This window comes from Homo sapiens, chromosome 10 (assembly GCF_000001405.40).
Source record: "Homo sapiens chromosome 10, GRCh38.p14 Primary Assembly".
NCBI classification, from domain to species: domain Eukaryota; kingdom Metazoa; phylum Chordata; class Mammalia; order Primates; family Hominidae; genus Homo; species Homo sapiens.
In genome coordinates, this window is record NC_000010.11 from 71,609,690 (window position 1) to 71,634,843 (window position 25,154).

The 25,154-nt window shown below is 51.5% G+C and overlaps 1 protein-coding gene across 5 annotated transcripts in view, besides 5 other annotated features; it reads left to right on the forward strand.

The window, feature by feature from the left end:
* Nucleotides 1–25,154, forward strand: part of CDH23 (cadherin related 23) — a 419,028-nt gene that overhangs the window by 212,770 nt on the left and 181,104 nt on the right. For 4 of the 5 annotated variants that reach the window (NM_022124.6, NM_001171930.2, NM_001171931.2 and 1 more), the window contains exons 10-11: nt 5,815–5,927; nt 7,516–7,704. In NM_022124.6, coding sequence (NP_071407.4) covers nt 5,815–5,927; nt 7,516–7,704 — 302 coding nt within the window. Of the gene's footprint in view, nt 1–5,814; nt 5,928–7,515; nt 7,917–25,154 lie in introns of those variants that run through there. The other variant, NM_001171932.2, reaches the window with a different exon arrangement.
* Nucleotides 2,603–3,117: an enhancer, noted in NCBI's record as "H3K4me1 hESC enhancer chr10:73372049-73372563 (GRCh37/hg19 assembly coordinates)". NCBI's record gives its function as "activates a minimal SCP1, AML or CMV promoter by ChIP-STARR-seq in primed H9 embryonic stem cells {active_cell/tissue: H9 hESC(primed)}" and the evidence as "EXISTENCE:reporter gene assay evidence [ECO:0000049][PMID:30033119]".
* Nucleotides 12,519–13,122: an enhancer, noted in NCBI's record as "H3K27ac-H3K4me1 hESC enhancer chr10:73381965-73382568 (GRCh37/hg19 assembly coordinates)". NCBI's record gives its function as "activates a minimal SCP1, AML or CMV promoter by ChIP-STARR-seq in naive H9 embryonic stem cells {active_cell/tissue: H9 hESC(naive)}" and the evidence as "EXISTENCE:reporter gene assay evidence [ECO:0000049][PMID:30033119]".
* Nucleotides 20,758–21,588: an enhancer, noted in NCBI's record as "H3K4me1 hESC enhancer chr10:73390204-73391034 (GRCh37/hg19 assembly coordinates)". NCBI's record gives its function as "activates a minimal SCP1, AML or CMV promoter by ChIP-STARR-seq in naive H9 embryonic stem cells {active_cell/tissue: H9 hESC(naive)}" and the evidence as "EXISTENCE:reporter gene assay evidence [ECO:0000049][PMID:30033119]".
* Nucleotides 23,483–24,018: an enhancer, noted in NCBI's record as "H3K4me1 hESC enhancer chr10:73392929-73393464 (GRCh37/hg19 assembly coordinates)". NCBI's record gives its function as "activates a minimal SCP1, AML or CMV promoter by ChIP-STARR-seq in primed H9 embryonic stem cells {active_cell/tissue: H9 hESC(primed)}" and the evidence as "EXISTENCE:reporter gene assay evidence [ECO:0000049][PMID:30033119]".
* Nucleotides 24,019–24,554: an enhancer, noted in NCBI's record as "H3K4me1 hESC enhancer chr10:73393465-73394000 (GRCh37/hg19 assembly coordinates)". NCBI's record gives its function as "activates a minimal SCP1, AML or CMV promoter by ChIP-STARR-seq in primed H9 embryonic stem cells {active_cell/tissue: H9 hESC(primed)}" and the evidence as "EXISTENCE:reporter gene assay evidence [ECO:0000049][PMID:30033119]".

Sequence of the window (25,154 nt, forward strand, 5' to 3'; positions counted from 1 at the left end):
CCTGGTTATACTCGTCCAATTATACATGTGCCATAAACAGCAGCCTCGCCTGGTGCGCTTTTTCCCAGTGTCTGACGAACGTCACCAGCCCCATTGTGCTGACAGCTCTTGTCTCTTGCCTTACCTTCCCCCACCAGTCCCCATGGTAGGCCACCTCCCCAGCTACCTGGAAGACATCGCAACATGGACATTCTGCTGCTATGTAAAACTCTACCATGGAGGAATTTATCTAGAACTTTCCAGAATGTGTAAGGACTCCCCCGTGTGTGTGTGTGTGTGTGTGTGTGTGTGTGTGTGTGTGTGTGTGAGAGAGACAGAGAGACGAGAGAGAGAGAGACGGAGTCTCACTCTATCACCCAGGCTGGAGTTCAGTGGCATGATCTTGGCTCACTGCAACCTCCGTCTCCCAGGTTCAAACAATTCTCCTGCTCAGCCTCCCGAGTAGCTGGAATTATAGGCACCTGCCAGCATGCCCGGCTAATTTTTATATTTTTAATAGAGATAAGGTTCACTGTGTTGGCCATGCTGGTCTTGAAATGCTGACCTCAAGTAATCTGTCCACCTCGGCCTCCCAATGTGCTGGGATTACAGGCATGAGCCACTGTGCCCAGCCCTAGGACTCCCTCTTGAGGAAGAAGCCACTTTGTTGACACTCCACTCTATGAAGGATGATGATCTCTTATTTGCCTCATCCTATTTCCTTGCCCCATAGCACAGGGCCAGGTGCAGAATGTGCACAAATGTGTGGAAGGCGAATGCTTGCAGGGAGAGAAAAAGAAATGTAAATCTAAGTCCAAGCTGGCCACTTGCTAGCCATGTGACCTTAGGCAAGTTATTGAGCATCTCTGAGCCTGCTTTCTCACACAGAAGATGGGATATCTTCTTATAAGGTGGTTGCAACGAATAGGTGATGTGATTGTGCAAACAGCTTAGCTCAGTGCCTGGTACATGGTAAGTGTTTGATAAGTAGTGGCTGCTACTTTTTAATAAATAGGAGAATGAAGGCTGCAATCCCCACCCCCCGACCCCTGCCCAGCAGCCTTTCACACATGATTCATTCCTCCCAGCCTCTCTCTTGCAAATCTGAAAAGGTCTTGATTCCTGGAGCTCCTAGAGGAGGTGGCTGCCCCCAGGAAAACCAGCAGGGCCAGTAATGACCTGCTTTTTTCTTTTGTGATCAATTTGAATCACCAGTTCCCAGAATCCTTACGGTGGTAAAAGTGCAGCCACCACCCCACCCCAAAACCCCTCCCCTACCAGATACTCCCCGACCCTGGAACTCAGGACAGCACCTGTCCACCCAGGGGAAGCAGCTGCCCTTCTGCTCAGCAGAAGTGGGGCTGAACAGATGAAAGGCTTCCCTGGTGAGCGCCCCCAGCCCCCCAGCCCCCCATGGGAATTGGATGAAGAATGTCTGGGAGACCAGAAGGCCGACACGGAGGTATCAGTTTCCAGGAGAGCAGAGAAACTTGCATGTGTGGCTGCCAAGCCCACAGCGCCTGTGGAGGGGAGGACGTGGAAGTGAGGGAAGAAGTGAAGGGAGCGAGGCAGGGATGTGGAGTTCCCCTCCGCACCCACCATCCTGAATGAGGGGGGAGCAGAGGTCAGAGCTCTGGGTTCAGGGCCCTGTGTGTGGGCCTGAGGGTTTTGTTCTCAGCCTCAGTTCAGGGCAGCCTGTAAACACTAGCTCTCTGTGGCGAGGCTCTCCTGGCAAAAGTGTGGGGTTGGCTCAGTGTCACTGCTGGGAAAACAGCTGTAGGCACAGGCTGCTGGGGTGGTGGGGAGAGACCATGGTGGTACCATCTTGGTAAAGCACAGGCAGCCAACATTTGTTGGGAGTTTCCTGTGTCCCCAGCACTATATTAACTTATTTAATCCTTAAAGTGACAGCCTGGGGTGGGTTCTATTATTGCCCCCCTTTTACAGACCAAGCAACTGAGGCCCACATATAAGTCACTTGATCAAGTTCACACAGCCAGTAAGTAGCAGACCCATGATTTGAACCCGTGCTGTCTGCCTCCAGAGGGTGTAATCTTAACCATTTCTTTTCCGAATTGCTTTTCTTCAGGGGCCTTAGCTCAGCGAGTACTTACACTTTCAATTGTGTGGTTTTATCATGAATGTCTGTCTTCACAGACAATTCATATGAGACTGAAGGCATCAACCTTGCCTGCTTTTCTTTACCGATTCTCCAACACCTTGCGCATAGTAGGTGCTCAATATGAACTTGAAGGAATGAGTGAATTAAAAAAACCAATGAATCTTTGAATGAGACGTGCCCTTGGCCTTTCCAGCTTTGGAGGCAGGGCTCATCTCCTGCCCCTACCCAAGCCTAGCAGCATCCCAGAGAGTACCAGTGTTGCTATGGTGACAGTAAGAACATCTTACCGAGCATCTCACTGAGTCAGTCCTCTCTCAGGTGGCCTTGTCGGCTCCCTAGGTATAGCTCTTTCTGGCTGTTGGTCTGGGGAGTTAATCACTCGTGCTTGGCAGGAGGTGGGAAGGTGTACTCCATGCAAACAGATGTGTGAAAAAGAAGTGTGTGTGTGTGTGTGTGTGTGTATGTATGTGTGTCTTGAGTTTGGTTGAATGTGGACTGTGTGGGGGGTACTTGCCTGCAGGTTTGTTGGAGAAGGTTGCCTAGGTCGGGGCATGGGGTGTCTTATGTGCTGGGGACAGATGCCGGGTTTGGAGTGGGCAGTGTGTACGTGAACGGGGCATAGGAGCTGAGTGAAGAAATACAAGTGAGTGTTCCAGGGTTGAAAACCCTGTTTTTCAAACCAAAAATGAAAGCACGTCATTCAACAAGGGGCTTCAGGTTTGTGAATGATTTATAAGAAAAATCTCACAAAGATAAAAATTGAATCACATTTAGCTAAACATTTGATAGGCTCCTTTATTTAAAAAAGTAAATTTATATGAAAATCTGGAATGCTGGGATGCTGTCTGTGGGGGGGCTGGGGAGGGGACCCCTGCCTGTGAGTGTGTTGGGGCAGGAGTGGGAGGCCGGAGGCTCTGAGGTCTTGCCTCAGGGCAGCCCTTCAGCTGAGCCTTAGGGGCTCAGAGGACCTCAGCCCCTACAGGGCCCTGCACTGCCTCTGCTTCACCCAGCCTCAGCACTGATCACCCTGTACGTTGAGTGCTGTGGCCCCCATTAAAATGTATCGCCATTTGTTTTTGAGACAGTCTTGCTCTGTCGCCCAGGCTGGAGTGCAGTGGTGTGATCTCGGCTCACTGCAACCTCCGCCTCCCAGCTTCAAGCGATTCTCATGCCTCAGCCTCCTGAGTAGCTGGAATTACAGGCATGCGCCACCACACCCAGCTGTTTTTTGTATTTTTAGTAGAGATGGGGTTTTGCCATGTTGGCCAGGCTGGTCTTGAACTCCTGACTTCAAGTGATCTGCCCATCTCCGCCTCCCAAAGTGCTGGGATTACAGGCATGAGCCACCGCGCCCAGCCTGTATGCTCATTAGAGAAGCACAATAACTGTTTGTTGAATGAATGAACAGATGAAAACACACATCTCGTTTCTCTAGCAGCAAAATTCCCAGCTAAAGAAACTCCCTTCTATCATACATTTATATGCCTCCTTGCAATCCTGTCCCCCCAACTCCCCACTATGCAAACGCAGCCATACAAAACCCAGCAGGAAGTGACCTAGGAGTCTCCATGGCTGGGAAAGGAAGCCTTAGGCAAGGGGATAGCTACAGTGACACCCCCTCCTGGGCTGGCCCCATGTTAGAGATTCCGAAGGCATAGACTGATAGACTGAGTTCTAAACAGGCCCCACTGTCTGCAGCTTCTGCCTGGCCTTGCCCAGCCCATACAGTGGACTGGGAGGACAGGTGAGAGTGGCCACTAGCCACTAACTTGGGTAGAAGTAAGCTGCCTTGCTGACCAGCACAGGCAGGTGACTCAGCATGGGTTGGCTGAGAATAGCTTCTGTCCCAAAGTCTAAAGTTAGAAGAGGAAATTGCCCCACCCTTGACTTTTTCCCTAGTTAATCCAAGAGAGGCTATGAGCCTCTGCTACATGCAGATCCCTTTAGAGTTGGGGAAGGGGAAGACCTGGGAGCTACAGCCACTTCCACGGTGATTCTGGTGTTCACCTGCGTGTGTTGAAGGCTTGGGTATTAATTCTCTAACGTGGAATCGGTGTCCATCCATCCTCTTCCTCAGTCCTGCCCATTCTCCAGGAACCACCTCAAACAATAACGACAACACTACTGAGTCCTTATTTTGTGCCGGGGATGGTCCCAAAGTAATATATCTATACTTTCACACTTATTTAATTCTCATAACCCTGTGGGGCAGATGCCATTATTATCTGTATTTTACAAGTGAGGAACCAGAGCACAGAGGGTTTAGGTAAGTTGCCCAAGGTCACACAGCCAGTCAGTGGTCCAGGGAATTAATGACCCCTCCTCTATGGAGCTTTCCTTCTTTGAGCTTTCCCATCTGTAAACAGCCCCTCCCTGCTGTGAACTCAGAGATGCCGATTCTGGTGGGTACCAGAGATCACTTACCAGGCTGCAAAGTGCTTTGGTGTCAGAATTCCTGGCACGCTGACATCTGCATGCCCAACAATGCCCAGCTCAGGGCCTGCTATAGGAAAGCCTACCCCAGAGATTGCTGGGTGGGTGAATGAATGGGAGTGAGTGAGTATGTGAATGAACCAACAAACTGGTTTGTGAAGAAGACAGCAGAGTGGAATTGGGATTTTCCCAGGTGAATTCACATGTGGGAAGGGCATATAGGCAAGGTGGGGGCCCATGCAGGACTGGCCCAGGTGAGGAACATGCCTGCCACTGTGTGCCCAGCGTTGGCCAGGTACCTTAAGGGACAGTCATGAAAGGTCTCCATCTTCAGAGGGCCGGGAAGGGAGATCCAATGAACACCCAATAATCAACTGGGGAACAGTTAGTTACAAAACAGTGGCTACTGCCTGTGGGGACCAGAAAGGGCCAGCTAGAGAAGTCAGGACTGCCTTTCTGGAGGAGGAGAAGAGGCTGGCACTGAGCTGGGCAGAGGATGAGGACAAGAGAGAATGACAGACACTAAAAGATGAGGAGGCAGGAAAGAGCATAGTGATCTGGAGAAACCCAAGGACGCCAGTGTGAGTTTCTGTGGAGAGAAAGCAGAAATTGAAGGTGGCAGAGGGAGAGGGGTGGGTTTACAGAGACATCGGTTTGAGGCAAGTGTGGCTCATAGATAATTTTTGCCAGTACTTTAATACATATCTTAAATTTTAATAAGTACTTAACATAGTACTTTTTTAAAATTATGTCTTTAATTTACATTTTTTGTAAAAGGAAACTTTACATCACGGTCATAAATAAAAAATTAGAATAGAATATACTAGACTAGACTAGACTAGAATAGAATGTCACCATAAAAATAAGCACAAGAGAAACAAAACCAGGTTATTGCATCCTGGCTGGCGTCCACTCCCTTTGGAAGGCTCTGAGCCTGAAGCCTGCTCTCTCTTTGTTAAAAAAGAAATCAAGCGAGTCTAGAGAAGTGTTAAAGCATAGTAGCACCAAACCAAGACTTTCTCCCTGGCTGGGTCACAGAGACCAGAAGGAGATTGGAAAGGCCATGCTGTTCTCCTTCTGGGACCCGTTGCTGTCTGCCGGCTGCTCCATGGACTCCAGGGCTCTTTCTATTACTCTTGAACCAGCATTCATTTCAAGTAACTGATGAGTCTTTAATGCCCAGAGAGGAGCCCTGGCCCCAGCTCCATGCCCCCCTGCCCCCAGCTCCATGCCCCCCTGCCCTGTGCCTGGTCACACCTGAATGCTTCTCTCTCTTGCAGGGAATACCAACAGCATCTTTGCCCTGGACTACATCAGCGGAGTGCTGACCTTGAATGGCCTGCTGGACCGGGAGAACCCCCTGTACAGCCATGGCTTCATCCTGACTGTGAAGGTGAGACCTGGGTGGGCACCTTCACCCCAGGTAGAGGAGATGCCCCTACTCGGATGCCAACCTCCAGCAGTGTCCGAGGGCTCCTGCCCCCGGTGGTGGCGCCGGAAGCACTTCGCTTCCGTGCTCTCACCCTGCACTGCCTCCCGGGGCTGTGCCCAGGGCCCCATCAGGAAGGCACCCACGTTATGAAGTTGTAGGTGTGCTGGGCCTGCCGCATCCATCATCAACAACCACACGGGTTGGAACTTTTATCCCCTCTCAGCGGGAGGCACACAGTAGGTGCTCATCCTGTGGTCCTTCCTTACTGTTGTCCCAGGATTCCAAGTTCTCTGTTGCAGCCACCTGGAATTCTGGAATTTGCCCCATTTCTGGGGTTCTGTCCCACTTCCAAGTGCCATGACTTCCTGTTAAGAAACAGCAATGCAGCAGGGAGCAATGCAACAGCAATGTGCTGGGGTCTCCACCCCAGGATGTGAGGCAGAGCTACAGTCCCGCACCCGCTGCAGCCGCCTGCCACTCACGGTCGGTTTCAATTCAAATCAGTGACTTGCAGAGCCATTCCCTGAGAAACCCGTTTAGGGGTATGGATCCTGTCTGAGCCACGGGGGGTCTTCCCAGCCCAGGCCATCAGCCGTTGATTGAGAGAAACGGGTGGCCCAAAGACTGAGGCCAGGGGCTCTGGGAAGGAGGCCCTTCCAGCGCCATGGGGAGGATGGTGCAGCCCAGCCTGGCCCTTAATTGCTGTCCTTGACCTTGGGAGGCCCTGCTGTTCAGGTGTGGGTTAGCCATGGGAGGGCGTGCTCCCACCACCATCCTTCCCTCCTGTCTGCTCTCCTGCCATGGAAGTGAGGTGGTCAGCTCTACCAGAGAGAGCTGCCCCCTGGTCCCAGCACCCCACTGCGGGACTTGAACTCAGTTTTTCTGTCTTTATATAAAATGTGAGGGTGTGTTCTCACACTTGGCTGTGAACCCGAATCCCCTGGAAAGCTATTGAAAGGTATCTGTTCCTGTGTCTCTCACCCAGAGAGATTCAGATTCAGAAGGCTGACTCAGAACTGGGAATGGGCACTTTTGGGCCCATGGCTCTGGCCCAGAGACTGGACACCCAGGTATCTGAATCAGTCCATCTGTGCTGACCCTCAGAGTCGAGCACAGGGTTCAGCCCATAGCAGATGCTCAGTTAAGTCTTGATTAACCACCAGCACAAACATTCTTGGCCTCAGTTTCACAATCTGCCAAAGAGAATGAAGACTTCCCTCTTGTCCCTCGATGAACCCCCAGATCTGTCTTGTCCTCCCTACCCCATCTCATCCATCTGCTGTCAGTCCTAGGATCCTACTACCTGAGCTTAAAATCTACCCTGGCTGTGAATCCTTATACAAGTTACTTAGTCTCTCTGAACCTCAGTTTCCTTATCACTAAAATGGGGATACTAATGATAAAATCCTCCTCCTGGAGTTGTGGTGAGGATTAGATGGGATCATTCACATTGAGGCACAGTGGCTGGTGCTGAGAAAGTCTTTGGTAAGCAAGAGCTGTTGCTGTGATTAGCTGCCTTCACTCCGGGGTGACTGATCTCTGTCCATAGGGCACGGAGCTGAACGATGACCGCACCCCATCTGACGCTACAGTCACCACGACCTTCAATATCCTGGTTATTGACATCAATGACAATGCCCCGGAGTTCAACAGCTCCGAGTACAGCGTGGCCATCACTGAGCTGGCACAGGTCGGCTTTGCCCTTCCACTCTTCATCCAGGTGGTGGACAAGGATGAGGTGAGTCCCTGGACACATGGCCCATGCAGACCCACCACCCATCCAGACCCACCACCCTGCCTGGGCTGTTCAGGTCCTCAGCTATAAAATAGAAACAAACATTGCGGCACCCCACTCCTGGTAGGTTCTGAGGATAAATAAGGCTGAAAAAAAAATCACTAGTCTCTACTTTTGGATTATCCCCTACACCCTGCAAAAAACATGTAAGCACATGTTTCCATATGTGTGGTTATTATTTAGAAGTTACATACATGATCATCATACTAATCTAGTAGGGATATTGTAAAGCATGTACAAAAATAGCAATTTTAAAAGGTAGAAATAAGGCCAGGTGCAGTGGCTCACATCTGTAATCCCAGCCCTTTGGGAGGCCGGCAGATCAAGAGGTTAGAAGTTTGAGACCAGCCTGTCCAACACTGGAAACCCCGTCTCTACTAAAAATACAAAAATTAGCCGGGCGTGGTGGCGGGCACCTGTAATCCCAGCTACGTGAGAGGCTGAGGCAGGAGAATTGCTTGAAGCTGGGAGGTGGAGGTTGCAGTGAGCTGAAATAGCACCATTGCACTCCAGCCTGGGCAACAAGAGTAAGACTCCATCTCAAAAAAAAAAAAAGTAGAAATAAACCATATGTGTATTTTCACACACCCTGATGGATCATCTGCTGCCCTCTTTGGGATGCCTGTACCCGTTTTTGCTCCTGTTCAAATAATGACCTTAGCAGAAAGTCTAATTCCTGTTTTTGGTGTAATAATGACCCCAGCTTTTCCACGTGAAGAGTGAAAGGACCTAAGTGCTTTGGAGGGGATCCCGGGCCATAAGAAGACCCCTGCATCACCAGGGGGTCTACCCTGGCTGGGCCCAGCCTTAAAAGGAAGTAAGGGAGAGCTGCAGAGGAGGAGGCAGGAGGCTCAGGGTGGGGGCAGCCCCCTGCACTGGTCCTGACACACCCTGCATCACAGGGGCGGGCGTAGGGGGGCAGGGCGGCGAGGCCTCTATTCGGTGGGGCCAGGTCTCCATCCCTTCAGGACCCTCTCAGCCTGCCTCCTCCCCTGCCCTCACCCCTCCTTGCACCCCATCTCCCTGCCTGTCAGCAGCTGCCATGCTAATAGGACTTCTATTTATTGCTGCTGCTCCTCCTGGCCCACTCTGCTCTGGAATTCCATTAGGTTTTCCAGCCTGAGGTGCTTCTCTTCGATTACTCCTTGCGTGGGGCTGCCGCGGTGGCCTTGCTCCAGGCTGGGCTTCCTCCACCGTCCTCGGGAGAGCCCTCTCTACTCTGGCTGCTTAGCCAGTGACCCACCCTGTTGACCCAGGAGCCCCTCTGCCCACGTCTCTTGCCCCCCTCTGGCAGCTCCTCTCAACCAGACATGGTCCCCCCAAGGACTCAGGGCACGTGGGCAAGTCAGTCCCACCATGTGCCTGTGTGTGTGCTCAAGTGTGTGTGCACACGTGTGTGTGTGTGTACATGTGTGTCTCCATCTCCTGCTAAGTAAGGCATTCCATACCTATCTGTCTGAGATAACTAAAGTAAGTATTGATCACCTGCTGTTTACAAGGAGCTATATTTAGCCTCTTGGGGAGCCAAGTATAACCCATGGTCCTAGGAGTCAACAGTGTGTTGATACAAATACAGTACGTACATTTTAAAACATATTTTTAAGCCGGGCACAGTGGCTCACACCTGTAGTCCCAACACTTTGGGAGGCCGAGGCAGGTGGATCACTTGAAGCCAGGAGTTCGAGACCAGCCTGGGCAACACGGTGAAACCCCATCTCTACTAAAAATACAAAAATTAGCCAGGCATGATGGTGTGCACCTGTAATCCCAGCTACTCAGGAAGGTGAGGCATAAGAATTGCTTGAACCTGGGAGGCGGAGGGTGCAGTGAGCAGAGATTGCACCACTGCACTCCACCCTAGGTGACCCTGTCTCAAAAAAAAAAAAACCCCAAAAAACAAATTTTTTAATGTAGTAGTTTTAAAAGGTGGAAAAAACAGGTATAAAAACAAGTTCTAATATGTTCTCACACCCTAATGGATCACCTTGTATCCCCCTTTAGGGCAGGCACCTCCTTTTGGAGATGACTGTATGAATGAGATGCTCAGAAGAAAGTCCCATCTGTGGTTTCAGGAGAACCATAATGCCCAAGAGAAGAGAAATGTGGATACCAGCGTGGGGTCCAGGTCCAGTGACCACAGGCAGTGAGGGGTCAGCTGTGGGGCTGAGAGGATCAGGAGAGGTTCTATGGTGAGAGGGGCCTAGGGCTGCACCCAGAGGCACACAGGAAGATTGGCTGGCCACAGCAGGCCATAATCCAGGCAAGCAAGGATGTGTGCAGTGGGGAGGTAGGCCGGGACCCAGGTCTCAGAGGGCCTCAAATGCCAAGCCAAGGAATTGAGGCTTGATCTTGGAGGCAACCCAGAAGGAAGACAGCTTGTGTGGGGGCAGCACAAGCTCTGGAGTCAGACAGGGCCTGTGTTTCAGCCTGGCCTTGCCATGTACTAGCTGTGTGACCTCAGGTAAAGTAATGAGCCTCACTTTGTTCATTTGTTTAAAAAAACAAATAGAAAAGAAAGAGAATGCATCCATCAGCTTATATTGCAGTAACAAGTTAGGCCCCACATAAAAGTTGATTTCTCACGTGGACGACTAGGCTAGCACAGGTGGACAGGGAAACCCTACCCCGTGTAGTGGCTGAGGAGCATGATCTGCAGGTCCCTCGGTCCCTGCAGCAGGGAAGAGGCAGCTGGAAGGCTAAGTACCAGCTCTTCTGTGCTTCATCCCAGAAGTGGCTCCGTGACTTCTACCCAATGACTATTGGCCAGAACTAGTTATGTGCCCCCACCTCACCACCAGCAGGCCAGGAAGCGTGGGGAAGGTGCCGAGTAGTTGTCTCTGCCACAGAGAAGGAGGCATGTACAGGGCGTGGCACAGCGCCCAGTACGTTAGCCGTTGTCATCATTCAGGAGCCGCAGCTCCTGACCAGGCCTGAGTCCAGCGAGTGCCACCAGATGTAAGGCCGGAACCCCCCAGGACTGCTCACCCCAACTGGTTGGGGGCAATGTAACCCTGACACCTCCGATTTTATCTCAGGCTGCCTTTGCTAGAAGCACTTTCTGAAATGTCTGCAGGAATGCCCAGGAGTATCTGGGTCCAACCCGCCTCTAGTGACCGCCCCCCACCCAGGCTCAGCCATTGGCACACCCGCTGCAGTCAGGGCACCCAACCCCACCAGGGACCATTCCCTGCTCTCCATGGCTGTTTTCCCAAGGGAGCTGGTCAGTGTCTCTGACAGTGCAGGCCTGGCCTCCTCTTCTCCAGGGCACAATAACTTGCAGAGACAGAGCCAATGAGGAGAGGCAGCCCAGGAGCCCAGGCCACCCAACCCTGAGGTCACCTTGGCCATTTTCCAGCCTCCAGATGGGGCGGCCCCCAAACCATCCCTCATGTGGCACCGGGCTCATTCCTCAATAAGAGGGAGGGATGAGTTGCTTTCGGCCCAGCCCTGCTCTCGTGTATCTCATGTTCTTCTCTGGAGGAATCCGGAGCTGGCCGGGTGAATGCATCAGAGGACCAGTCTTGGATATAGGGGAGGCCCCATCATGATGGAGGATCAGGCCCAGGGACCCCCGTGTAGCATTTAGCCACATTGTCAACAGGAGCAAAAGAAGGACTGCAAAAGCAGTTAAACATTGCCTGAGTGTCCAGAGCCAGAAAAATCAGGGAACCACAAAGAGAAATCAGGCAACTGTTAGAGAAAAGATTTTTAGAAAAGTGTTGTTTCTTGCCAGTCCATTTCTGAGGAAAAAATACATCTGTTGGGATTTGTGTCTGGGTTGAAGGTGACTCTGGATTTGCTTGGTGTGGCAGGAAAATGTGTTCGTTGAGTAAATTCTCTGAAGGGAAGGGAGCCAGCAGAGCAGTCAGAACCCTCTGTCCCAGGCTCTGTGGAGCCACGTGACTCTCACATGCCCACGATTAGTGTGAGGATCCCACTAAATCTAACTCCTGATTGCACTGAATGGTGCACGGGGGTGGGGCATGCTTAGTTTGGCTCACCAGTGTAATCCAGGCCCTCATGCTCTGCCTGGAACGTTGATGGCACTCTGGAAATGAGCATTGGTTGAGTTAATGCATGGTTAAATGCCCAAGTATCAGCGAGATGGCCCAGGGCTTTTTCCAAACCAGGTCTGGCTGAGTTTGTGTAGCAAGGATGACCTCAGAAATCCTCTGCGGGGCAGTCGAGGGAGCTGATGCAAAACAGAAAGGGAAGGAAGAAGCAGTGTAACCTCTCCATAGGAACTCTGTGGCAGTCTCTCCTAATGAGGATGCTAATCGAATTCACTGCCGCCACCAGATCGAAGATTCTGCTCAGTCTCTCACTGAGTCTCAGACTCTGCTAGACCATTCACAACAACAAAGGTGCTTGAAAGCAGTCCTTTCTGTCTCCCAAGGACTCCATTCACATTGTCAAGTCTCACTGAGTAATTTCTTTTCCTTTGCCTGGCTATAGAAAACCCACAGACACCAGGGAAGGAAAGGACAGGGTGGGCTGAAACCAGCAACAACCCATTTGTACCTTGTGACAGTTGAGATGCAAATAGCTGGTTGTGATGCAAATCAGAAAAAAAAAAATCCAAAAGGCAGAAGCCCCAGAAGTCAGCCTTGGTGTTGGGAGCTCATCTCTGAGTTTCAAATTAAAGGTTGTGGCAGCCTCATTCCCCTGCACCTGGTGGCTGGGCGTTTTCTTGTGTCTTCCTTGGTGTTCTGGGGAGCCACGGTGAATCGGCAACTCACTCACCCACCTGGAGTCCTATAATGTATATATCCTTAAACCCCCTGTGCCGCCCTTGCCCCCAACATATTCTTTGTATTTTCTCCACTTGGGTCAACTTTTCCTCTCCTGGCCTTGCCTGCAGCCCTCCCCTGCCTCACCTCATTAACATGCCTGGAAGCTGAGTCAGCCACTGGCAGTCCTGTTTTCCCTTCTGCATGGGGACAGTTTGTTGCGCGGGTTGGAATTTTCTGTTCAGTTGTCCTAGAAAACGTTCCTCCACTTAGGCGCCAGTGGATTACCTCTGTGTGGCATCCCCCTCCGAAGAGTCAGACTAGCAGAAGGGGGCGGGGGACGGAGGCAGGGTGGCTCGGAGACCATCCACACCTCTGGGTGCCTTACAAATCCCAGCAAGGGGTATTGTTCTTAAATAGTTGTTTCATTATGCACGACCCCTCCCCGCTGACCCAGATAGCTGAAAACTGACAGTTCCTCTCATCCGCTGTCAGGAGAAATACCATTTGCGGATGTCCTGCCTTCCTTCTCCAGAGCTGGGAGCATTTGATCCACTTTCCTCTGCCTCACTCCTGACCCCCAGCTTCTCAGAACACACTTGCTGCTGTCCTTGAGAATATTTTGTGCAGAGGAGAGGGATCGGGGTAGGGATTGGGACACCACTCTCTTCCCCACCCCAGAGAGGCCTCAGCTGCCAGATTCTGGCTGCTTCTGGGAATTGGAATATTTCAGAAAGGCCTTCGGGCCTCATTAATTTGCCGAACCCCTGGCCTTCCTGAGGGACTATGCTGAAACTTACGCAGGTTGGGGGTTAGTTATTAATTCAAGCAACAAGTGTTATGTGCACCAACTATGTGCCTGCCACTGTGCTAGGTCCTGGGGGGACTGAGCTGAAGATGTAGCCTCTGCCCTCCCAGAGCTTATATTTCCTTCCAGTGGGGAGACAGAATTGCAGTAGAAATGGATGTTCAGAACTCTATAAACAGGGTGAGTGAGTGACAGGGTGGGATAGGGTGATTCCTGACTGTGGTCCCAGAAAGCCTTCAGAAAGGTGCTGTTGGAGCTGAGGTTAAGTGGCATGGAAGGTGCAGCCATGCAGAGCTGTGGAGGCAAAACATTTCTGGCAGCAGACGCTCCCCTACAAGGGCAGAGATCCCCAAAAGGGAAATGGCCTGGCATTTTCAAGGAGCAGAAAAGAGGCTCTTGTGGATGTCCAGGACAGAGCTCAAGAGGATGGAGGTGTCAGGAGGCCAGGCTGCAGCCTCATCGGGGGCAGGCAGGGCTTTGTCAGGCACAGGAAGGCGTTTTTCTGTTACTGGGAGCCCCAGGAAGCCAGGGAGCTGATGTGGTCTGAGTCGCCTTTCTCAAGGAGCCCTCTGATGGCTGTGTTGAAATGTGCAGGGTGGAAGCAGTGAAAAGGAGTGAAGTCTCCCACACGGGAGACACTCCCCACTCCCGTGACCATGCATTCCAGTGTCTGACGGTTTAGCAGTTTAGCCATTTTCCTCTTAAGGTGTTTTCAGAAAGCTGGAGAACCCCCAGTTCCATGATCATAGAACCCTAAAAGTCCAATAGAAACTGCTCTTAGGAACTCTTCCCAGGACACTGAGTTGGCCCCTTCAGCCTTTATGACAGAGGCTCTGTGATTTCAAATCAGCCCAGGATTTTGAACTCTGACCTCAGCCTTCCACTACCACACCTACCCCAACTGCCCTGAGAAGGTGGCAGAGAGAGCGCCCAAGCCAGGTTCTCAGCCCAGTTCTTCTTCCGCATTCAGGTGCGATTCCAGGCAAGACTCGTCCTCCCGCTGTGCCTCAGTGTCTGCCTCTGGAAAACAATGAGTTGGGCCAGTCAGTCTTTAAGACTCTACAAATCCTAATGTTCTCTTCATCCAAGAGGACACGGGTAGGAAGGGGAAGGTGCCGCCCGGGCCTTCCCCCTGCCCACTGACCCTGCAGCCAGCTCATCCTCCTTTCCCTGAGCCGGCTCCACGGACTCGGTTCCGGCAAACCCAGCTCCCACTTCAAGCAGAGGGACTTGGGCGCCTCTCTGGGCCTCATCTCTGTCCCCAACCCCAGCCTGCCTTGTATTTGTGTATTCAAAACCCCCTGCAGCATCCCTTTTCAGGGAAGGACGAGAGAGGCAGCTGGAGTTGTTAGAAATAAAATTAACCAGCCAGACAGCCTGGGTCTGCCACTTGGTTTTCGTACTTTTGATCTGTGTGACCTTGGGGACTTATTTATCCTCTGATGCCATTTTCTCATCTGCAAAGTAGAGACAATAGCCACTGTACCTCACAGAGCGTCTATCAGGATTAAATGGGTTCGTATCTGTATTTAGAACAGTGCCAACCCATAAAAAGCACTCTTGAAGTGGGGCATGGTGGCACACACCTGTAGTCCCAGCTACTTGGGAGGCTGAGGCAGGAGGATTGCTTCAGCCCAGGAGGTTGAGGCTGCAATGGGCTATGATTGCACGGCTGCACTCCAGCCTGGGTGACAGAGAGAGAACCTGTCTCTAAAAGAAAAGAAAAAGCATACTTTAGACATTAGCTATTATTATTATTATTATTATTATTATTATTATTATCCCCTGTCCTTTCTATAGAGGAAGAAGTCAAGGCTCAGAGGAGTTAAGCGGCTTGCCTAAGGTCACACAGCTAGTTGGTCTCAGAACTTGGTCTTGAACTCTCAACCTTGCACTTCTTGCATGTGTTGCAGGGCTCCCCATTTGCAAACATGGCTTCCTGTTCTCTCTCATCTCAGTTTTCCAAACTCTGATAATTTTTACTTCCCAGTGTCTGCTGAGAAGATGAGCTTGAGTGACAGCATTAGACAAGAGTGGGCACATCCGACTACAGCTGTCCAATATGGGGAAAACGGCTCTGAATAGGGCCTTAAAGAAGTGAGAGCCCCCCGTGAATGGGGATAGAAAGTCAGCCTCTGCTGGCATGAGACGCACCCCCACTGGGGGCCGCTTGGGACCCGAGGGTTGAGAATTCAGTCACAGGGCTCAAATCCACTGGGCGACCTCCCAAAGGTTTGGTCCCACCGAGCGGAGGGGCCTGCACTGCAGAGTGAACGGGGACACATCTGGCAGGAACTGATTCCCGTTTCAGGCAGGAGATGACATGGTTCATTTATTTGAGGGGCATAGAAAAAAAAAACGGAAAGAATTACCCACCTCCCCATGGAGAAAACATCACCAAATAAATTAAAAAAAAAAAAAAAAAAAAAAAAAAAATGACAAGGAGAAAAGGCCATATTCCTGAATGCTGGGGGGCGGGTGGGGGTAGGCAGTGATGGGGTGGAGGTGAGAAGGGGAGACTGTTCTTGTTCTCCTGCTCATCTCAGTCTTTATTTTTATCCGTCACCCTCATTTTCCATTCCACATGTGTTCCAGGCCTGTCAGGCAGCATCAGCCCACAACCTTGTATTTATTTAAATTTATTTTCACATTTGGTCCTGTTAGGCAGTTTGTCTGGGCTGCAGTGCCTCCAGGCCCTCCCCACGCAGCTCTGCAAAGGTTGCGTTCCTGGCTGCAGGCTTCTCCTGCGGGCCTCTTCGGCTTCCTTTCAGTCTTCCTTTCAGTCCAGGAGTTCTCAGCCCATCTGGGGAAGGGGGGCCACGGACCACCCAAGGCATCCATGGCCCTGGGTGGAGAAAAATCTGCATCTTTCTTTTCACCAGCTTCTAAGTGAGCCGCAGCATTCTTTTAATTACAAATACAGAAAAAACCACAGTGGTATTAGCATTACCTGTGGCTTTGACCCCAAGAGACATCTCAGATATTTTCATATCACGTTACAGGTGTCACAGAAATCTCAAAATACCATTTACGCTCATCACTGCTCTGAAATTACAGCATGTATGAGACTGACTGCTAAGTCTCCTTGTTTAATGCATCCTGAAGCGCATACAGGATTATAACAACCTTTTAGAATACTTTGGTAACTGTATTTCAAAATAATTAGTTGGCTCTGTGGTTCCTTGTATTTTAGTGTGTGGAAAATAAAAATTCTTCTGAGAAGGGGGTGCCTGGGCTTCACCAGACTCTCAGAAGGGTCGTGGCACAAAAAGATGAACACCCCACCCTTAGTCCCTGTACTGCGCTAACCCTAGCTCCCCACTCGGGCCTTTACTGCAAGGCTGACGTCTGCTGGTTCTTAGAGCTGGCATCCTTAGCCTTAGCCGTACACCGTGTGGGGATGGACAGGGTGGGAGCAGGGAGGAGACAAGACCCGTGGCTCCATGTCACGTGTTCAGCTGAGGGTCCCTTTTCCAGCTCTGGACCACACTGTTCAACTGAGCCCCAGAAATGTACACCCCAGCATCTGCTCAGTGGGAGAGACCCAGTCAATGCACATTCTTGCCACCCCAGAGAGTGGGTGCAGCTGCCCTCAACTCTCCCCACCTGCTGGTGTGACCTAGGGCATGGACCTCTGTTTTTCTGTCTCCTAAGCAACTTGAATTAAGAACCAAACTCTAGAAGCAGTGAAGAGAGGTGAGGGAAAGAAGGGGGCAGGCTGCCAGCATCCCGTGGGGCAGATGTAGGGTTCGTACTCTCGGATGTACAATTGTCCTATTTTCCAGACCCTTCTTTCTCCTCCATGAAGGTGGTAACTGGGATCTGGCTAGAAAAAGGAAATGGATGGATTGCCTCCAACATTCTGTACCTCTCACCAGCTTGTGATTTCATCAATGAAGTAAAGCAGAGAGGGGTTAGAGGGCCCTTGTCCAGGGAGCAATCAAGGCAAGGCATGCAGAGAAGTGGGGGTCTTCATTGCCTCGCCCCATGCCGGAAGCCAGGGAGCCCATCCTGGATGTTCTTATTTTGAAAAGGTTCTCTGGTGACTCTGACCTCGCAGCAAGGGTTGAGCATCCACACAAAACAGTGTCCACACAGCTGGTACCTGGGATTCCTGGGGCCCCGGTGAGCACCTCTCCGCATCTCTGTTTCCCCATCCTCTGCCCTGGCTGTAGGCAGGGGTCTGTTTGCAAGGCCTCGGTTGTCTCACAGCTTCAGCTCACATTTCTAGGGTTCCTCCCCCAAGATTTAGTCTCTCCAGGAAAATATTTGTTGACTTCAAAGCAAAGCCACTCTGGAAGAGAAGCTAGAGGGAGCGGACAGCCCAGACTGTGCGTTTTCCCATTAATTTCTCCCCAGTTGCCTTCAGTGAGGCCCTTATTGTGATGATGATGATGATGATGATGATGAAGATTTTTCTGTCCATGGCCGCATCCTATGGCGTGCTTCCTCCCAGCGTGCTAAGCTCCAGCCTCCCTGGGGACCAGAGGGTGGCCTCTGCCATGAGTCAGACACCTCCTAATTTAGTCTCTTTGTAAATCTAATTAGCATGCTATTTACGCCAAGCCCTGTACCCCTGGCAGGGGGTGTGAGGCAGGGCCTGTGTGGCAGCCGCGGTACCAGTGCCCACCCCTCACCTCCTCCACACGCCGGTTCCCGCAGCTCCCAGCCTGGAGTCCCGTCTAACAGCTGGAGTTCATCTTTCATGTTGGATTTGGGAAATTGTTCCCCTCTCACCTGCCTCCCTGGCAGGCTCCTTCCCCACACCCACGGCCACCCACACTCCTGAGCAGGGCTGGCACCATGGGAAGTAGTGAGAATCATTTTACCCATGGAGTCATGCTCCCTCAAAGCAGTGGCGGGGCTTCCTGAAGACCCCAATGGGAATCAGAAGCAGAGCTGGCAAACTTTCTTCTCCATGCCTCTTCCTCTCCCCAGCACCTCTTGGCTGGCTTGTACCCTCCCTGGTGCCCCTTCGTTGTGGGTGCCAGTGAACCCAGTTCACCCTGGAACCTCCCATACTCCCCCTGCCTGCCCCATTGGCCACCCCACCTCATACCCCTAACAGTGACAGGTGTGTCTTGTTTTCCCCCTGTCTTGAACAAGGCTGCAGTAAGCACAGCTCGGCTGGGAGTTGTGCCTGTGTGTCTCACCCCATCGCCATCATGGGCCGTGAAATGTCCTAATCAACAAGTAAGAGGAACTGCAGAGTCCTGCTGGGCAGCTGTGGCAACAGTGGGCCACCAGGAACGCAGAAGCCTCCTTCCCAGCCCATGCTGGGCTCTGCTTGCCCAGGCGCCTACTAACTCTGTCCCCCGAAAGGGGAGAATAGTGCAGGGATGGGGCTGGGCACAGGGCAGAGGGAGAGGCAAGGCATTTCATGGCAAAGCAAAGTGTCACAGTTGTGCTCTCACTCTGTCCATGCAGGCTTAGGGCAGACCCTCCCTTCCTCTCCAGGCCTCAGTTTCTCCATCTGTTAAAAAGGAATTCATATCAAAGTAATTGAGAGTGAGATAATTTTTGTTTTTGAGACAGAGTCTTGCTCTGTCGCCCATGCTGGAGTGCAGTGGCGCAATCTTGGCTCACTGCAACCTCCACCTCCCAGTTCAAGTGATTCTCCTGCCTCAGCCTCCTGAGTAGTTGGGATTACAGGCACCTATTACCACACCCAGCTAATTTTTGTATGTTTAGTAGCGATGAGGTTTCACCATGTCTACCAGGCTGGTCTTGAACTCCTGACCTCAAGTGATCCTCCTGCCTCATCCTCCCAAAGTGCTGAGATTACAGGTGTGAACCACCACATCCGGCCTGAGATAAAATTTTCAGCATCGAAGTTGTCACAGGTTTACATCCCAGGTTGCAAGGTGCAGAGCACGTTTTCCCCTCCCTGGTTCTGACTAGTGCTAGCATCAACACACGGATGATATCTTTGCTCTTTTCACATGGGCAAAACGAGGCTCAGAGAGGAAATGTTTTAGGGAAGGTCACAGAGCGTGGGAAGAGAGGCCTGGTGGCTAGCGAAGCACACAGGTAGCAGGCGCCCACGGGCCTCTGGCAGGAACAAGGAAGAGATGCCCTGAGGGATGTGCACGTTGAGTGGGAGGCGGGATTGGCTTATTCCTTCATTCATTCAACAAATATTTGTTGAACACCTACTGAGTGTCAGATGTGATTCTAGCATCGATTCACAAAGTTCAGCCCTTGGGCAGCTAAGGTTCCAAGGATGGAAGACCAAAGAAACAAACAGATGCAAATGATGTCAGGTGGTGAGAAGAGCCACGGAGAAAAAGAAAGCCAGGGAAGGGGATTAAGGGAATCCTGGGAGGGGCAGAACCATCAGAGGAGGCCTTGACAGGCCTGGGTGAAGTGAGAGGGCCCAGGCTCTGTGGATATCTGGCAGAAGAACGTTCAGGCAGAGGGAAGGGCAGGTGCAGTGGCTCTGCAGAAGGAGGCTCAGGGGCTGGGAGGGGAGGTCAGAGAGGCCCAGGGCTGTGGTCAGGACTTGGCTCTCACAGGAATGAGATGGCAAGCCGCCTAAGGGAAGCAGGCAGGCAGTGATGTGACAGGAGTGAAGTTTCGGGAGGAGGTGCAGTGGAAGACACCCAACTTCTGTACATCCGCTGCCGAATGGAGAAACTGAATGTGATGCCTTCATGCGGTGGGCCATTATTCAGCCATTGCAGGAGTGAATGAAGCACTGAGCTGCTACAGCAGGCATAGCCCTGGGAAACACAAAAGGCCACTTGGTGGATGATTTCACGTGTGGGAAACATCCAGAAGAGGCAAATCCACAGACACGGGAAGCAGATTAGTGGTTGCCAAGGGTTGGGGGAGAGAAATGGGGAGTGATGCTTAATGGGCACAAAGCTTCATTTGTGGGGGACACAAAAATGTTTTGGAGCTAGATAGAGGGAGTAGTGGTTGTACAACCCAGTGAATGTAGGAAAAATGCTGAATTGTTCGCTCTCAAATGGTTAAAATGATGACCTTTATGTTATATGAATTGTATCTCCATTTTTTAAACATTTATTTTATTATTATTTTTTATTTTGAGACAACGTATCACTCTGTCACTCAGGCTGGAGTGCAGTGGTGTAATTATAACTCACTGCAGCCTCGAACTCCTGGGCTCAAGTGATCCTCCCACCCCAGCCTCCCCAGTAGCTGGGACTACAGGCACATGCCACTGTGCCTAGCTAATTTTTAAACTTTTTGTAGAGATGGGGCCTCACTACATTGCCTAAGCTGGTCTCAAACCCCTGGCCTCATAAGATCATCCTGCCTTGGCCTCCCAAAGTGCTGGGATTACTGGCGTGAGTCATCGCACTCAACCTAAAAATTTTTTTAAAGGATGCTGTGTCTGCCAGGGGTGGGGGTGGGTGAATTGACCCTGAGGGGCAGGGGCCTTTCCTAGGAGTGACTGCCGTCATTCAGATGGGGCCTGTGGAGGGTGAGGAGCGGTCAGCCGCTGGATCTGTTTTGAAGGGAGAGTCAATGGGATTTGCCAATATGGGGAGGGGAGGAAGGGAGTTAAGAGTGACTGCACAAGGTTTTTGGCCTGAGCAGTTAGAAAAATGGAGTTCTTACTTCCTGATACGGTAAAGCAGTCGATTCAGTGAGGGCATGATGGAATCCGTAGGTTAGCTTCCAGCGTGTTACGTTTGACATGCTTGTTAGACACCCAGATGGAGACGCCAAGAAGGCACATGGGCTGTGCTGGTAGATACCTAGCGAGCAGCTCCAGGGCCTCGGTGAGGGGCTGCCTCATAGCATTTAGTAATCTCTGTGGTGTCAATGCTCCTCGATGGCCGATCTCAAGCTACTGGCGTGGCCTCAGCTGGCTCTCCCAGATTCTAGAAATCCAACCATTGGCTCTCAGGAGCCTCTAGAACCCCATCTACCACCATGTGGATCCAGGCTGGAGGCGGGAATGAAAGTGTTGCCAACACCCAGATTGTATTTAAAGCCACCGGTGGCCGGCATGGCGGCCCACACCTGTAATCCCAGCACTTTGGGAGGCCAAGGCAGGAGGATTATGTGAGCCCAGGAGTTTGAGACCAGCCTGGGCAACATACTGAGACCCCCATCTCTACAAAAAAATTCAAAATTAGCTAGGCATGGTGGCGCACACTTGTAGTCCTAGCTGCTGGGGAGCTGAGGCAGCAGGATCGCTTCAGCCCGGAGATTTAGGCTGCAGTGAACTGTGATCACACCACTGCACTCCAGCCTGGGCAACAGAGCAAGACCCCAACTCTACCTAAAACAAATGAATAAATAAAGCCACCGCTCTAGCTGGGTTCACTTGGGAAAGGGATGTGGATAGAGCAGAAAGGAGACTGGGGACTGGGCAGCCCCAGGACACCCTGATGCTTCACTTTAGGGGAGATGAGGATGACTGAGGAGCCACCCCCAAGGGAAGGGGAAGAGGAGCAAGAGGGAGCACTGATGACAGGAGGAAGATTGAGGCGAAGGAGGGAGTGGAGTGTGCAGGAACAGAGGCAGGACTCAGAAGACTTGGAGGCAGCCCTAATGTCTTTCAGTAGTGGCAAATTAACACGCATATCTTAGTCCATTTCTGTTTTTGGCATGATGCCTTGTTGTGATAGCCCTCATTAGGGAATGTCCAAACCTGCTAACATTTACAGAGCAGGTCTACCAGGATTTGTTTTTCTTTTCTTAATCCTCTTGGCCCTTTTCTCTCTCCTGCCTCCAGAGCCCTCCTCTTGCACACCAGGGGGCCACCCTTCTAAGAGGGATGCCAGAGGTCCCCTCCCTAGCTCTGCAGATCACTCAGATATGCTAAATAGTCCTACAGGGACAGACTGTGCTTAAATAAATAGATCACCAAAGGGAATTGAGAATCAGAGGAATCTCAAAGGCATTGTGCTGAAAGAAGCCACTCGCTATTGCCCTGTGCTGCATAATTCCATGACATTCTCAAAAAAGACAAACTTATAGGAACAGAGAACAGGTCAGAGGTGGCTGGGGGTGGGAGAGGAGTCCCTGTAAAGAGACGGGACAAAGAAGTGCTGGGGGCAGTGGGACTGTTCTGTATCCTGGTTGGAGGGGATAGGTAACAAGAATCTTTGCATGTGTTAAAATTCATAGAACTATATACCAAAAAAAGTCAACTTTACAACATGTTAATTAAGAAAATAAACTATAAATTATGGAATACCCCCACACCCATCCCCCAAAAAGGATGAAGTGAGAGGCACCAGCATGAGCAGCAGCACTGGTGGGCTTCTAGACTAAGATAGCCCCATCCTTCTCTCCACCGTCATTAAATCAGCAAGTGCGTAATTTGCACCCTCCTATACAGCTAGAAAGGCCAGTTAGAGGGCCTTGAACACCGCTGTGAGATTCAATCTAATTCAGCAGGCAATTGGGAGCCATAGATGGTCCTTGAGCATAAGTGATGTACTCAGAGCTATGCTTTAGGTTGATTAATCTAGACACATGGAGAATGGGGGTGGTACCAGTGGGCAATGACAGAGAGCACCGGTGGGTGGGGACTGGACGAGGGGTCAGGACTGCTTAGATGTGGGGTCTATAGGAAAGGCAGAGGTTGAGATGAGGCTGCAGTTTAGAGTTCCAGCAATGGGAGTGACAGAAGCTCAAAAGGGCAGGCTGGGGGAGGGGCTAGATGGAGAAAAAGATGGGAGCTGCCACCATCTGCCACCACCCTGCTGTGCAGCGGCCAGGTTCCATCTTTACCTCAGTATAGCTCCTCACCTGAACACCCTCCACCACCTTTGCATGCCCTCTCTTTCCCTCTGTTAATCTGTCTTTGAATCTGATCCTCTCTCCCTGTCTCTCTGTCTCTCACCTGCCTTCCCACGTGTCTTAGTCCATTTTGTGTTGCTTATAACAGAATAACTGAAACTGAGTAACTTAAGAAACAAAATTTATTTCTTACAGCTATGGAGGCTGAGAAGTCCAAGGTCAGGGGGCTGCATCTGGTGAGGGCCCTCTTGCTGGTGGGGGCTCTCTGCAGAGTCACGGGGTGGTGCAGGGCATCTCGCATGATGAGATTACTACGTGTGCTCATGCAGTAGCTCAGGTCTCTCTTCCTCTTATAAAGCCTCTAGTCCCCCTCCCAGGATAACCCATTAATCCATTAACCCATTAATCCACTAATCCATGAATGGATTAGTCCATTCATGGGTGCAGAGCCCTCACGATCCAATCACCTCTTAAAGGCCCCACCTCTCAATACTGCCACTGAGGATTAAATTTCAACGTGAATTTTGGAGGGGGACATTCAAACCCTAGCACCATCCTTCCTTCTCTGTGTCTGTCTCTATCTTCTGATTTTTTTTCTCACACTCACACATGCACAGCAGATAAACACATGCAACTCATTCATTCATGCCTTTATCCCTTCGTCCATTCACCCATAGCAACTATGCGGCCAATACACATACACGCCCCACGCCCCAAAGATAGGGAATATGTCAAGTAGGAGGAGCCCTTTGCATGCCTGAGCAGCCCTGCCTGGGGGCAGCTGAGTGACACACAGGACTGTCACCAGGGATGGTCACCCCTCTACCCGGAGCCCAGCACCCTGTCCCAGCCCAGGACCTATTCCTTAAGACATTTGTGATGTCTTTGTTCACTGGGAAGAGGACCCAAGACCGGGCAGCTCCCTTGGAAGAGGACTAGAAAGGAGAGGGAGATGAAATTACCTGCTCCTTCTTGGCTCCCAGGGTTCCAGGACACCAAGTTTATGGCCTCCTATGACGGTGGGATCCCTGATGTAGAAAGGCAACCCAGAGAGGGCAGACAGTTTGCACGAGGTCACAAAGCAGGCCAGCGCCAGTCCTCGCTCCCCATCTCCTGTCCCCTCCACTCTTCTCAGCTCCCTCTCTGCCACCCAACCATGCAGGAAAGGTGGAATCACTCTTGGAGGAGAGGCAGACTCACTCTTGGAGGAGAGGCAGTGGAATACAAAGCGGTGTGATTAGCAGCTGTAGCGGTGTCCCCTCCTGATTTCCATAAGGCATTTAGATTTCTTTGCCTGGCCACACATTTCTCTGTGGGAAGAGGGAAATCATTTTAGCATAGGAAATAGCCAGAGCCAGGCAGCTGCAGATTGGGAGAGCCAGCTCCCAGCTCTGCACCCTGGCCCTCCCTGCTCCCTGCCTGGAGGCCTCTAGAGGGCCTGGCCAGAAAGCAGAGGGCTGGAGACCCAGGAGGCTGGTGAGGCCAGCGAGTACTCCCTCTCTGCGGTGCTGCCCCTCAGGCCCTGTGATTCTCCCCAGAAGGGGCCCCAGAAGGAGGGGCAGGACAGTCCTGGGCTTGGGACAGGCCTGGGTGCACACATCCTTTTGCCCTGCATTTTGGACTCTTCTCCGTGCATCTCTGAAAACACTTACACCCCACTTTAGCCCCCTGCCCCAACCCCAGCCAAAAGTTGGGTGCAGAGTTTGCCATTGGAGTGAGGAAAGGGATTGAGGCCAGGTAGAGTGATGAGGTTCAAATTAGCAGATTCTGATGAGAATGGCAGACCTTGAAGTTGGAAATATGGCCACTGGGGCTGGGAGGCTTGCCTGGGGTTGCAAGACAGGGCCACAAGGAAGGGATTGCTGAGTTTTCCACGTGGGCCAGGTGCCTTCCAAACAGAGCCCATGCTGGAGGAAGGGAGAAGAGGACATGGCCTGGCTTCCCTGGGATCGTGGGAGGCTGGAGGGTAGAGCATGGTGTCCTTGAGTTAAGAACTCAGGCCACATAAATCCTCTGTGGTTCCCTCTGTCCTTTGCACATGAATTACCAGTCCAGGTGGCTGTAGCAGCAGCAGCTGCTCCATCTACAGAACTGGAAAGGACCGTGTGTCCCCCGATCTCCACATAAAG